Raw genomic sequence first — 15,401 nt, forward strand, 5'->3', positions numbered from 1 at the left:
AGTTCTATTGCATTGTGGTCAGAAGATAATTGATATGATTTCAATTTTTGAACATTTATTGAGACTTGTTTTTTGACCTACCGTGTGGTGTAGCCTGGAGAATGTTCCAGGTGTGATTGAAAAGAATGTTCCTTGTGCTGTGTCTTCCGCAGCTGTTTGGTGAAATGTTCTGTAGAGGTCAGCTAGGCTGATTTGCTCTAGGGTGCAGTTTCAATTCCATTGTTTCTGTTTGTTTTTGTGTTGGATGATATGTTATTGCCGAAAGTGAGGTGTTATAGTTTCCTAATACTATTGGATTAGAGTCTATTATCTTTCTTTAGGTCTATTAGTATTTGCTTTGTATGTTTAAGTGCTTTGATGTCAGGTGCATAGATAAAAGACTAACTTCATATGTGAACCGAGCAATCTCCACACTACAGCACAATGTGAGTTTGTAAGGATTTCTCAACAACCCCTGGCAAGACAGGGAGGCTGCAGTTGGAGCAACTCTGGCAGGTCCTCTCAAGAAGAAAATACAGGGAAGAATGCCCTTTTGGCATCCTTCTTGGCCACATTTTGGCTGCCAGACACGTCAACATACTGCACACAAGCTTCAGGATGGGATCCACTGCTTTCCAACCATTTCAATTTTGATTAGTACAGAACCGAGAAAGTCTGTGCAAGGACTGTTTTCTATTTCTGATAGACTCTTCTCATGGTCTCTTTTCTCTTTAGCCATCAGTTATCATAGTTGTGGTTTTGGCCCATTATCTGTGTACCTTTCTTTTCTCACTTTAAAATATTCTATTCAAAACACCTAGAAATTTGACTACAAAAATCACTGGTATTTTAATATATGTGGATTCTTGGCTGTGATGAGCTCGTTGCTCTATTTTCCAAGCTGAGGTGGTTATGTATAGATGAGGGATGTCCACTTATTTACCTCATTTCACACCCTAAGTGTGAGGGGCCATTTGTAGTTGGTGGCAATTTTCCTAGAACCAGAGAAAAAAGTTGTTGAAAAGTGGAAATTGCCCAGTCTGGAAAACTATTTCTTGAAGATTAGGAAGGGAAAGCACATATGCTTCACAGGCTTCACAGGCTGTTGGATGGCCATTTAAAGGGTGATGTTTGTAACTCTTGACCCTCTCTACAGATTCATGTACAGGAAAAACTGCCTCACTCAAATAGGGAGAAAGATCTTATGCTGTATAGGGCTGTGCATTGTGTACGCTCTGCATCTCTATTATGGGCCTTTCAACAAAGAATTGATGTCAAGGGCTTCCTCCCAAGATTACCAACTCTTTTCTTTCCTTTTCTGTACTTAAACCTATAATATATTATATTTGAAAAACCACCAGAGATGTTTATAGTCAGTTTCCTAACCAGTTGAAATCTCCCTCCATGTAGGGAGGGAGACAACCATCTGTCTGGTTGTCTTGGTTCTTTTTTCTGCATGGAAAGAGGCAAATGATCTGTCCTAATTAATTTGGGCTGCTGTAATAAACTCCCATAGACTGGGTGGCTTATAACCAGCAGACATTTATTTCTCCCAGTTCTGGTGGCTGGGAAGTCCAAGATTAAGACACTGGCAGATTCAGTTTCTGGTGAGGGCCCACTTCCTGGTTCATAAAGGACCATCTTGGTGCATCCTCACATGGTGGGATAGAAAAAAGGTGTGCTCCCAGGCCTCTCTTATAAAAGCACTAATCCTATTCATGAAGGCTCCATCTCTATAACCTAGTCACCTCCTAAAGTCATCACCTCCTAATAACATCACCTTGGCTGTTAGGATTTTGATATAAGCACTTTGGGAAGACACAATCATTTAGTCCATAGCATGATGCTTCTTCATTGCCAGTTTTCCAGACTTACGAATATAAAAATCATGTCCTCTGAGGTCCTCTACAGGTGTTGCCTAACCAGTGAGGATGAAAAAATAATCACTTCTCATTGCTATTCAATCGGGCAGCATGGCTTTTGCACTAGTGACATCAGGAATTGATTCCCTCCTATTGGGTAGTTTAGTGAAACCTTAAAGGTCTTGTTTCAATTGATAATACTATCTCCTGACTTTTCCTTGATGCTTTACAGTTTACAAAGTATTTTCACATGTCTCATTTGGCATCAAAAATAATTCTGATGCAAGCAGTGAAGATGTTAGTGTATGCATCTTATTGACAGGGAAACTAAGCATCAGAGAACTTCAGCTGCCAGGGCCATATCACCACCACATCCAGTGCTCAAAGAACAGGTGGTTTCTAAACTTCTGTATTATTTTTAATCAGGAATCCACTTTGGGCAACTGTTGTCCAAGTCAGGTCCCCCTAACTTGTACTCGTGCAGTTGATTTGCTGGAACTAAATGCATCCTGTTAGATTTTAATGACAATTTTGTAATGCAATAAAATCAAGGAAACAAGTCTGTGTTTTCCAGAACCAAACTTAAAATTTACTTTAGAAAACAACATTTGTCCTTCTCCAGTCTTCTTTCTTATACTATTTCTTGAGATCACAACTACATAGATTTGTCCTTTCCTCTTTTTAAAAAAATCTGGGCACATTAATTAATTAGCTAATTAATTAATTAAATTATTATTATTTTTGAGACAAGGTCTCTCTCTGTGTCCCAGGCTGGTGTGCATTGGTGTGACCATGGCTCATGGCAGCCTCAGCTTCCAGAGTAGCTGGGACTACAGGCACACACCACCATGTTAATTTTTAAATTTTATTTTTGTAGAGACAGGATCTCACTATTTTGTCAGGGCTGGTCTCAAACACTTGGCATCAAAGAATCCTCTTGCTTCCGTCTCCCAAACTGCTGGGATTACAGATGTGAGCCACTGTGCCCGGCCCACATTAATCTATTCAAATAACTGATTTATTCATTTCAATTTCCTTACTTCTTTTGCATTTCTATTTTTTCCTACCTCTGTTTGTTCTACCTTTCTGAGTTTAAAGGCATAATCTGCATTAAAATGCATCAACATTGATTCATCTTTTTCCAGATGCCCTGTACACCCACAGAGATTTTCACTCTTGTTTCTCTAGTTTCCCCCCTCATTCCAATCCCCCTACCCATGTTTCCAATATCAAATTCATGGCTTTTTATACATGCATGTATCTTCTTTCCATAGAGTGTACAACTTATAACAATGAACTCTATTCAAATCTGATAGCATGCAAGCTAGATTACAATAAAAACATATGTTCATATGAAGAGGCCACAGTCTTGAGGATTTTAGAGTGATTATTATGGGACTGCAGGCTTCTGTTATTAGATGAAATGTTAGGTAAGTTAATTGTATATTTTAAGTCTTATTTTGAGAATAATTTATTTGATGTCATTTGAAAAAACTTGAACACGAAAAAACGATCTGAGAAGATAAATGACACGTTTACAAGTTGGTTTGTAGGAAAAATATCTATTTGCTATGGATCTTGAAGGCCAAAAGTATGTAGTTTCAGACGTTTGGATTTAAACTCTGGATTCAAAAGTTGGGGCAAAACTGAAAGCTTTTGAAGTTTGTGTGGTTTTGGCTCCAGAAATGTTGAGTTTTGCAAAGTATATGGTTTTGCTCTTATTTCCGCTAATGTCCACACTTATTACAATGAGAGGACAGAAGAATTTTATCTTCTTACCTAGGCTGCCAAATACTTTTTAAGAAAGATATACATTTCTCAGGAAATAATGCTTTTAAGTTAAGGGAAAATATTTTGCAAATATCTTTACCAAAAGTTGATGATACCAAAATTTACATAGATAAATGTCTTCATACCAATACTCAAGATGTGTGGTTACATAAAATACCTTGACTAAGTTCTCATGTAGATTATTGTATTCCTTTTAATCTGAGCAGTTTCTTGCTTAATGTATTGTTTAATGTGTCTGATAAATGGCGAAAAGGTCTTACAATCAAATTATGTACCATTGAAAATTGTCATTTTATTATAAATATAGTCTATTACATATAAACTCTACAAGGTAGGCGTCATTCGATTAACCAACTTAAATGCTTACATCATTCCCTAGAGTATTCAGAGTAAGTGTTGGGCCAGGGCTTCAATGTGTGCCCTTTTTCATTTTTAAGGAGTCTGCATTTTCACACTGCAAAGGATTTAATTCTCTCAAGTATTTGTGTCGGGCATCTCTACTTTGAGCTTACAACAGACTTGACATCTCTATTAAGAAAGGAAGTCAAAATACAGCACATGGAAAACAATTGATGATGGAGAATAGCAAGTGAAGAAAAAAAGGCCACACTCTGAGTTCTAATGAACAAAATGCATTCTTATCAAACACATTTGCAGAATGTCCATGACTCAATTTTTGGAGGTTTGGTTGCTATCTTTGCCTCCCTTGCCCCAGGTGGAGACTGTAGTCTCTTCTAAGCTAAGGGAGAAGGGAGAATGTGGGTTAAGACAGCCCCGAAGCCAGCAAGCAGCCTTTATATTCAGGTGTACAGCATGCACTCTGAGTTCTTATTAGAGGACATATCTAATATGTATTTTTTTCTCTCATAAATTTATATTTTCCTTTCCAGGAGAAAAGCAAAACTGCCACAGTGATGTGCAGATAAAAGAAAAACATTGTTTGAATAAAAACTGAGTTGTTCTGGTGGAGGCCGTTGCTCATTCATCTTGACTTTAGACACTTGACTAGCTTGCAAGCCTCTGCTTTTTTGTAATTTGATCAATGATTCAGGCTCCCTCCAGACCTTCTCTCTCCTTCACCTCCTGCTTCTGATTGCTATTGATTGCTTTCTCCCTAATGCATTGGAACAGTATCCAATAGGACTTTCCAATTTGATGTGGAGCCTGAGCAGGCATGCTTCAAGAACTTCCCTCTGTGCGTCCCCAACTCTCTCTGGTTCCTCTCTCCCACCCTAACTCTCTTCTTTAGTATCACCCAGATTTGTATTTACAGGAGCTCACAGGCTGTTCTGCAAGCTGTCTGTCTGCTGCCTCACCCCTTTATCATAGCAACTACTGCCACACTATTTCGTTAAAACGATGCTTGGAAGCCAGGCCACTCGAGTGTGCAGTAAGTTGAATTGCAACTGCTTCCTGCTGTTCCTGTGATAGATAGTACCATAAAATGGAAGTGATGTGGTTATTAGGCTGTGATTCGGTTCATACTGAGCTGTATTGATTGGTGTTGGTTCAGTGCTTGCTATACATTTTATCAATTGACCTTCTAGATTGTATCCTGCCTTTGCTTCTTTTACCTCTAATTCTACTTTATCTCCAGTTTTGTGGCTCCTAATTTTCTTTTGGCTGATTTCTTGTAGTATTTCTTTAGTTTTCTATTACTCAGAAAGACTTTTCTAATGAAACCATATTTTCCCTCTCACCATGCTTATTTACTTATTTATTTATGTAGCTGAGTCGAGTCAGTCTTTGTTATTCTGGGATACCATTTCTGTCCTTTGAGTTTCCAAGTTTTAAAATATTTCTGACTGCACACAGGACTTTTCCTGAAACTTTCCAGTCCCTCAAACTAGCTGGCAGAGCTCAGCAGAGGACGATTTGATTGCATAGGCTCGAAGTCCTATTTGCAGTTATTCTCCATAACAAGCAGTCAGCCAGCCTTCTTTTGCCCTAGTGCCATCTTTTCATTTTGAAGTTCTTTCTTTCTTACTTTTTTTTTTCTTAGTGAGGGTTCTGGGAATTTCTTCAAGTGTTTGTATAAAAATATTAGATAATTAAGCAAAGATAGATATGGAACATAGGAACTTTGTCTGCAGAGAGGGGAGACACGAGGAGAAAGGGGGTAGAAGACGGAAAATGGAGGAGAAAAAGGAGGGGAAATGTCAAGGGAAGAGGAGCAAGCAAAGCTGTTTGAGAGAGTGGGGACCAAGACAGATGTGACCCCTGTGTAGGAGGCTGGATAGAGTTATTTTTGGAATAGAAATATATATGTGAAGATAAAGGGACAAGAGTGAAGGTAAAGAGGGGAGGGGTTGATGAAGTCAGTGTTGGGAAAGTGAGATGAGCATATTTTTATAGATTGTAAACCCATCAGGGAAAGCACATGTTTAGTATACTGCTGAGCACCTTGTCAGGTACCTTATAATTAATAATAATTGCAGCCATTATTTTAAAAAATCACGGAGAAAAATTTGTGTACCTTGAGGAACAGTGTTGTGACACTGCATTACCTACAATCAGTAATTTTTCAAACACTTGATTCTTATGTTTATTGCTTTTATTTTTCATGGAGGCAGGAATTAAATAAAATATATGACCACTTGTTGCCTCTGACACCAGGCAAATATTATTTGACCATTTTGTTTGAAAGGAAATGAGATTTTTATGGCTAGTTTTGTTTACTATGAACCAGGTTGGTTGTGCAAAGTAATTTCCATCTGAATAGTTCTTAGTGGCCCAAGTGGAATTAATATATCTCTTTGAAGACCAACACCTGCTTACCTGAAATTAATTTCTAAATAATAATTTACTAGTCCCTTGTATAATTTACTAGATACTAGTTCCTTGTATCAACCACAACAAAGTGGGTAAGGAGTGATGTCATGAAGCCAAAGGGTTTTCTGTTCCCAAGGAAGCACTTAAAACAAAAAAAAAAGACTCATTAGTATTTATTTATTTATTTATTTATTTATTTTTAAATTTCCAACTTTTATTTTAAGTTCATGGCACATCTGCAGGATGGGCAGGTTTGTCGCATAGGTAAACATGTGCCATGGTGGTTTGCTGCACAGATCATCCAATCACTTGTTAAGTGATTGGTGTTAAGCCCAGCATCCATTAGCTATTCTTCCTGATCCTCTCCCTCCTCCCACTCCCCACCCTCCACCAGACCCCAGTGTGTGTTGTGTCCCTCCATGTGTTCTCATCATTTAGCTCCCACTTATAAGTGAGAACATGTGGTATTTGATTTTCTGTGCCTACACTAGCTTGCTAAAGATAATGGCCTCCAGTTCCATCCCTTCAAAGGACATGATCTTGTTCCTTTTTATGGCTGCATAGTATTCCATGGTGTATATGTACCACATTTTCTTTATCCAGTCTATCAATGATGGGCACTTACGTTGATTCCATGTCTTTGCTGTTGTGAATAGTGCTGCAATGGACATATGCGAGAAGCACTTAAAAAAAAAAAGACTAAAATAGTCCCGAAATAAGGCAACATCTCCTGTGTCTTTATCATAACACATGGATGCACAAAGCTGCTTTGCAATGATCAACCCACTCCATGTGTGAAAACATGTGTAACTTTATGTTCCTTCATAATGTGCCTGTGAAATGGTTAAGGAAGAGTCTCTGCTTTATCAATTGAGAGACATTTTAACCTCCTGTTTCATTGACTGTTCCATATCAAGGGACTCAAATGGGGACCTGGGACACCAATGGATGGCCCAGATATTTCTAGTGTTTTTTTGAAATTGGAGCTATCCTTGGGCTTTGCAAGCACAGGCCACCTCAGTGCACTCCTGCTTTGGTCAGCTACAAGGGGCTTTCTTTACCTGGGCCTTTGACCAGACATTCATTTGACACTCTCCTTTTCATTCCATGAGCATGGAGGTAATGACTTTCTCTGTTTTCTTCCAATTAACACCCCATGAAAAGAATGGGGTGGCATCAACTTTCTTCCCATTCTCCTCCGAGTTTGCTTATAATTGGACTGGATCATTGTATATTTTTGTCAAATTGAAGAACTTGTTTATGCTTTCAAAATAATCCCCTTTTATTATTTACCACAATGACCTCTTTTGCCCTTGAAACTGAAGGCAAACAGCCTTTCTTAATGTGTGAGAACATAGATGTCATCTTGGTGAACTTGACAATTTGTTCAACTGGGATGTGGAACCAACTATAAAAAAAGCAACAATAAGGCCTTCACTAGCATTCCCTCATTATCAGGTCTGGCTTGTGGAGGGCTGAGGCCTAGCAAAAAAAATAGTTTGAAGCATCTAAGTTGTGCTTCCTCCAGCAAAGTCCCTGGAAAGGGCCAGATTACAGAACTGCTGGACTTCGGGGAGGTACCAAGGGATTTATCATAACACTCAACGAGGAACTGCAAGCTTAGAAAAGGGCCTTGTTTTTACCCTGTCTGGGGAGGGGAGATTTGTAGACTACTGTGGAGGGTTGGAGGACATTTATTCATAAAACCCACCATGGTTTTCGTTCCTCAAACTGTTGTTGAAACTCCATGTTCAGCAAATAGAGTCATTCCTGCTAATAACCCTTGGGGTACAGCTCAAGCCTAACCTCCATTGTCTTCATTCAAACCTATCTGAGGATGTACAGGCAAAGAAATCTTCTGGTCACTCATTTTAACTACATGCAAGTTAATCTTGCTGAGAATTCTGGAACTAGCCCACCACATGACTTCTTTCTTGCCTTTATGGCTGAAGTCCTCAGGTTCATGTGTGAGTGAAAAACTAAGAAATATACAGACCAGGGTGTATTATATTCTCAAATTGCTTCCTTATATTTCACTTAGATTTTCTAGTTGGGCACCATGGTAATTGAAATGGGGTTTGTTCATAGTTATTTTGTGATAATGAGGGAATGCTAGTGAAGGCCTTATTGTTGCTTTTTTTATAGTTGGTTCCACATCCCAAAATATTAGAATCCTTGGAAGAAAAATAGTCAAAACACAAATAAAAGAGATTTATACTTTAGTAGTATGAATATAATGCTGCTGGTACACTTTTACTTCTCAAAACTATCTGTTTATTTTTAAATAAGTGATAACATTATTACTAGTTAATGCATTTTTATTGCGGAGATAAATAATTCCTTAAAATGTGATGGGAGTACTGCTGTGAGTTATTCTCATGCCAAATATGATATCACAATACTGACATGATAAGTTGGAATCCCTACTAAGGAAGTTGATACAATTTTTTAAGGAAAAGACACAGACAATGGGCCTCTGCATCCTTTCTGGATCTTCATTCTGAGGCTCAGGCCAGAACCATCATTTGTATGTCTGAGACAGAGTCAATAGTAGGATTCAGTATCATTCCTTGAAGTCACTGTATACTGACATTGCATAAGATGTCCTATTGGTAGCTGAAATTGCTGTTTAAGATCTGATTTCACTCCATGTCATGATGGCTCAAACATTCATAGAGAAGAACCTCAGTTGTTTAAAAATAACAGTTTTCCCGGGACTCGTGGTGGAGTTTCTTAGGCTTTTCTGTAGAAAAAGTGTAACAATGCCTCTCACACTGTTTTTGATTTTAAGAAATTATCACTATAATATAAAATATTGAGATGATTAATTTTGTGTTAACTTAGCTAGGCCACAGTGCCTAGATATTTGGTTAAACATTATCCTGGAACTTACCGTGAAGGTGCTTTTTTGGATGGAATTAACATTTAAATTAGTAGACTTTGAGTGAAGCAGATTGCCCTCAAAATGTGGGTAAGTCTCATCCAATCAAATTGAAGGCCTCATTAGAAAAATATTTACCTCCCTGGAAGAAGAGGGAGTTCTGCCAGCAGACTGTCTTTGGACTTGGACTGAGTACGTCTCTGGGTCTCCAGCCTACTGGCCCACCCTGCAGATTTTAGACTTGCATCTCCACAGTCGTGTGATCCAGTTTTAAAAATACCCCCTCTCTCCATACACATATATGTGTACACATATATACACATATACATCTTGTTGATTCTGTTTCTCTGAAGAACTCTACTAAAACAAGTATTATCAAAATTAAAAAGGAGCTTGAAGTCATGTAGCCTAATGTTCTTCTTTTTAAAGATGAGGAAAAGAGATATTCAGAGAAACAAGTGAATTTACCTAAATTACCCAGCCAAGGAGTTACACTTCCCATATATCATATTTATTGCATATATAAGTAAGCAACAACTTCTCTTCTTTAAGCAACAATACTTAAAGCAGAGAGAATATATGAGTATAGGTGACTGTCTGAAGTTTTTATATAAAGATTGCTGTTAGTGGGTAGATTTGATGAGTGATCAAATACGGCTTACTCTAGTGCTGTTTGTCCACCATTGAATTTAGCACAGTTATCACTGGTTGTCCTTGAAGAAAAGCAAAAAATTAGAAAAAGTTAACCTGCACTAAACTCTGACCTAGTTCAGAAATGCCTTCGATAAAACTTAACAAAACAATTACTTCAAGCATGTATCTGAGGGAACTGGCTTCATTTCAATTTATTTAGGGTTCTTGAAGTACTTTAAAAGTATGCCTTAAAATCCCATTTCAATTATCTTTAATAAGATCAACTTGTCTGATATAGATGCAATATGAGAGGCAGAGCAAAAAATACTTCCCTTTTCAAATAATTCTTTCTAAAACGATTACGGTCCATTTTCTTAAAACCACCTCAGGGTGGTGAGTCATGTTTGTCATTTTAACTTTCTTCTGTCTTAGGAAGAACTCAGATGGAATATCTCTTGGCTCCAAGATGATTTCTTTAATGAATATCTGATGGTGGGAACTTGCTAATAACACTATGATAAAAAGGCAGTATTTTTGTCCCAATCTCAAGGATATATTCCTGGGAGTAACTTGAGAGCATTTTTGTACATGATTATTATTATTACTTTTAATTTTGTAATAACTTTAGATGCAGATAAAGCTTGGAAATATAGTGCAAAGAATTTCCTTAAACCCGCCATTCAGGAGGGATACCAATGTTATAATATTTTTCCATATTTGCTTTATTTCTTTCTGTCTCTCTCTGTCTCTGTCTCTCTCTCTCTCTCTCTATCTGTGTGTGTGTGATTTTTTCTGAACTCATTAAGAGTAAGTTGCAGACATAAAGCTCTTTTTATCACTAAACATTTCAGTGCATATTTCCTAAAATAAAGGCATTCTCTCAAATAACAATAGTATAATGATCAAAATCAGGAAATTAAGCTTGATGTAGTAATATTATCTAACATACAGAGCTTATTCAATTTCATCAATTGTCCCACTAATGTCCTTTATGGCAAAAGAAAAATAATTTTGGTTCAGGAGGCAGATTGAGTTTTAAACTTTAACAATGAAAAAGTCAATGGTTAAAGGTTTGGGTGGAAATTAACCATATTCCTTCTCCCCCACTCCAATTCTACTCCCCCCATATGAATCAGGATCAACATTTCTGTATTCTTCAGTGTTATCTATAGTCATACTCCTACACACATGTAAAGTGTATTTGTTTCTTTTTGAGTTTGTGAAAAATAAGAAATTTACCACAAGCATTAATGCATCATGGCTTTTTCATTCAGTTGCACATTAGGAACATCCTATGAGAGAAACAGATCTATGTAACCCTGTTGTATTTGTTTTTAAAGATCCTTAAAATCAAAGTAATATACACATATTGTTAAAGGCACATGTCATTAAAGGCTTATAATTAAGAACACTGGTATCTTTCTCCACCAGTCTCACTTCTAAAAGAAAAATAGTTTCAATTATTTTGTTTATATCAATTTTGCTTATATTTTGATATATGCTTATATCAATTTTGCTTATATTTTGTTTATATTTTGATATATATTTATATCAATTTTCTTTATATTTTGTTTATATCAAAATAATTGAAACTTTATTATAAATGATATTCTTGTACTACTATTGCTTGGGTCACCATTTTTAGAGGTATTTTATCCACTTCTTTCTACAGTACTTGAGAATTTGGTCTTTCTCTCTCCTCTGTCCCTCACCCTATTTGCTGCCCTTCCTTTCCAATGTAATTATATTTCAAATTTTTTTATTAATAATATTGTTAAGTTTACATTTTATGATTATAAAATAGCATAATATTTCATGAAATATAACTTACTCCAAGTCACATATTAAAACCTATGTCTGAGGATTTTGTCTTCTAAAACATTTGTTTTCCTGCTGTTAAAAATTGTCTCAAATTTTTTGTTTGCTTAGTTCATATGACACTGATTCTAATTCTCCTCTTATTCCCAATGACTTCAATACAACTACCAGGTGAATGGTTAGATCCTTATTTTTCCTCTTTTGCTTTCTTTCTCACTTGCTTCAACCTGGACAGCTTTCTTTCAGGCATCCTGCACAACTGCTGTCCTGGGACTTCCTTTTGCCTTCATTCAGGAGATTATCTTATCCTTTCTCCCATATTGAATATGCTCTTACCCGGGCCCAATCTTCCTCTTTATTGATTTACTCTCTCATTTTGTTGATGCACAACTTTCAATAGCTTTCTTTGTAGAGAAGCTTGGTATACTTTTTGAAATACTTCTTGTTTCGTGTCTAAAATTCTTTTTAGATAAGCAAATGTTAAGGGAATTCATTATCACCAGACCTGCCTCACCAGAGGTCCTTAATGGAATGCTAAACATGGAAAGAAAAGACCATTGTTAAGTCAAGTTTAGCCTAAAGCTGCCTCCTTACATACTTTAATTTTGGGCTAAGAGTTTCTCTGTACATACTGAACTATAACAAGCAGAGGTATAAACAGGCTAGCCTACACTTGTGCCAATCACCGAGTTTTGGCCAATCAAATGTAGCCCACTGTTCAAACCATGTTCACATAAGCAAACGAGGAGCTGTAACCAATCCAGTTGTTTCTGTACCTGACTTCCATTTCCTGTATGTCACTTTCCTTTTTCTGTCCATAAATCTTCCACCACGTGACTGCACTGGAGTCTCCAAGCCTGTGCTGGCTGGGAAAGCTGCTTGATTCGTGAATTGTTCATTGCTCAATTAAACTCCTTTAAATTTAATTTGGCTGAAGTTTTTTTTTTTTTTTTTCAGGTGGCGTCAGAAGTGGGATCTGAAGTAGAGCTTCTAATGACCTCTAGGAGTGCTGAGTGACCAAGTGAGGTACCTGCAGGACCCTTTTGTGTTCAGTGATCTCTTGGAGCAGCTGGGGATCATGGTAAGTTCTCTTTCAGATTTTGGAGCTCCACAGGTTTGTGTTTTGAGCTCTCCAAGTTTCTTTGAGCAAATTTCTGATCCAAACTGGGTTTGGAAGTCACAGTAGAAACTAAACTGGATCCAGGATTGGATTTAATCTGGCAGTTAACTGGCTTGGATCCAGTTAGAGGCTGCTTACATCTGACTGGGTCAGGAAGAAGCTGGTAGTAAATGGTAATATTGCAGGGGATATAAAATTTGGCTTTTGGAAATTCACAGGGATTTTGTGTTCTACTCCTTTGTTTCATTTTTCTTGCATGCTTAGGTAGGAAAAAAAATCATTGGCTAAGTTAATCAAGGGAACTTGAGAGCAAAGCCATTATCTTAAGTAAAAATGGGATTCTTAATTTCTGAAGAGCTGAGTTCCTTCTGGCTTATACATGTGTGTTAGGCCCCAGAAGCAGTGAAGTCTTACAGAAATGGTAAAATCTTACTAAGGATAACTTATAGTGGAATGTTCCAAATGAACAACAAAACACTGAAGTGCATTTGAAAATGAGGGCTCCCAGATTAGTTTCATCTAGGGATGCCTATTGATATGCAGAAGCTTCTAAAAGTATTTCAGTATTTTTATTTAAAGACTTTACGAAAGGCAAGTATAAAGCTTAAGCGACGAATTGATTACAAAAATTAAATCTGCTAACCTTTTAGCTTAGTTACATCTAAAGGAAGTAGACTGCAGCAGCAATTGGCTAACTTTGGGTAAGTAATATGGTACATTTTACCTGGGTAAAGGATGGGATTGGGTTACTGGCCTGCCCCTAGGTAAAGTCCCTTTTGGTTAAAAATGGATTTGGCACTATGGGATGTTAACCACTATTCTCTTTGAATTAATCTGCCTTGCCATCTTGATAGGATTAGGCATGTACAGGATCATGGGACATAGGGAACCTTTTTTTTCCCTAAAGGGGAAGCTTAAGAGCTGGTAGGACTGGTGGAAAAGATCCCTGCATGACTGACAAGTGACAAGTGGCTGCCTGGAGTTTTGATTCAGTATCACTGCAATGAGTGGGTCTTTCTCTGGCCACCCTGAGTTTCTTACCTTCCCCACCCTGCCACAGGCAATGCCTTTTTCCCTTTCTCTCTTTTCCTTTTCTTATCTTTTCTGTTACCCAGGGCAACCATCTTGCCCAGAGTCCACATGTTGAAACTCCTTTATCCACTTTGAATGGATTAAAGATGACAGGACCCATCTGGGGGCAAGTTTGAGTCTGGCCAGTTTGATATTGGGCACTAAGCAGAGTGGCTAATGTCCATGTTTTGTCACACATATTTTGCTCTGGCTGGAATGGAAAATGGTAATTTGCTTACCCCATGCAACCCCTTGGACAGCATCTTACAAAACTGAGAGACTGTTGCCTGTGGTTCCATGAAACAAACAAACAACAAAGATTTTCTTTTGTCTTGCAGCTTGACCTCCACGGCTATAGTGTGGTGAACAGGCTCAGTAGGGCTGCTCAGAGAAAGGGAATCCAGAAGCCTGGCATGCTGGCAAAAGGGTAAGAATTTCTTACCAGTCAGACTTCTCACCTCTCTCTTTCTGTGCAAAATGGTTGGATGAATGGTAAAAATCACTGTTTATCTCTTCTGTAAAGTTCTAATTAATATGAAAAAAGGCTTCTGAGGCTAGACCTAAGCTGTAGCAAATGCGATGTGCTTTGTGTGTCTTCTGTATGGTTTTGTCATAAAGAGGAGTATGTTAGGATAGAACATGGGCTTAGGACCCCATAAGCTCACTATTCAAGATGGCCCAGCAAGCTGGTCAGTAACAAACTTTGTTGCAGTTACCTGAAACAAACAAAAAACTGGATGAGGTTTCCATCTTGTTTTATGTCCTTGGGAATTTGACCTCATAACCATGTGGCAATACTTTCTCTTGGTCTCTGCCATGTAAGGAACAGGAATTGGGGGATTCATGTCATAGCCCTAAAAATTATTGAACAGTAAAAGCCTTTGTGACCACACCACTGTACTCCAGCCTGTGTAACAGAGCAAGATCTTGCCTTTATTAAAAAGAAAGAGGCCTGGTACTGTGGCTCACATCTGTAATCCCAGCACTTTAGGAGGCCGAGGCTGGCACATCACTTGAGGTCAGGAGTTCAAGACCAGCCTGGCTAATATGGTGAAACCCCATCTCTACTAAAAATACAAAACTTAGTATTGGGCATGGTGGCACATGCCTGTAATCCCAGCTGCTCTAGTGGCTGAGGCAGGAAAGAACCACTGAACCCAGGAGGTGGAGGTTGCAGTGAGCCAAGATTGCTCCACTGCACCCCAGCCTGGGCGACAGAGCGAGACTCCATCTCAAAAAAAAAAAAAAAAAAGCTTTTGTGAGCTCAAAATTAACTGCTCTACTCTAGGCTCCTTCTGGGAAGAGCAATGGAAACTACCCAGTTTTGTACTTTAGTAGCTAAGGCTTTGCCTTTTCACAGTGGTAGCCCGGGTTCAGTCTTGGCTTAGGGAATGAGTCTTTTTTGGTGATGTCTGCATGACTTTTACCATTTGTTGAATCTCTTCCCCTCCATGAACCGTCTTGAATTTTCCTC

General features: G+C 38.0%; 1 long non-coding RNA gene across 1 annotated transcript in view; it reads left to right on the forward strand.

Annotated features, from left to right (window-relative positions):
* The window catches only part of MIR548A1HG (MIR548A1 host gene), a 200,152-nt gene extending 184,991 nt beyond the window's left edge, over positions 1-15,161 (forward strand). Inside the window, exons 7-8 of the long non-coding RNA NR_149116.1 lie at positions 12,694-12,817; positions 14,266-15,161. This is a non-coding gene — a long non-coding RNA (MIR548A1 host gene). The remainder of the gene's footprint in view (positions 1-12,693; positions 12,818-14,265) is intronic.
* The last annotated feature ends 240 nt before the right edge of the window (positions 15,162-15,401 follow it).

This window comes from Homo sapiens, chromosome 6, assembly GCF_000001405.40.
Source record: "Homo sapiens chromosome 6, GRCh38.p14 Primary Assembly".
NCBI lineage: Eukaryota > Metazoa > Chordata > Mammalia > Primates > Hominidae > Homo > Homo sapiens.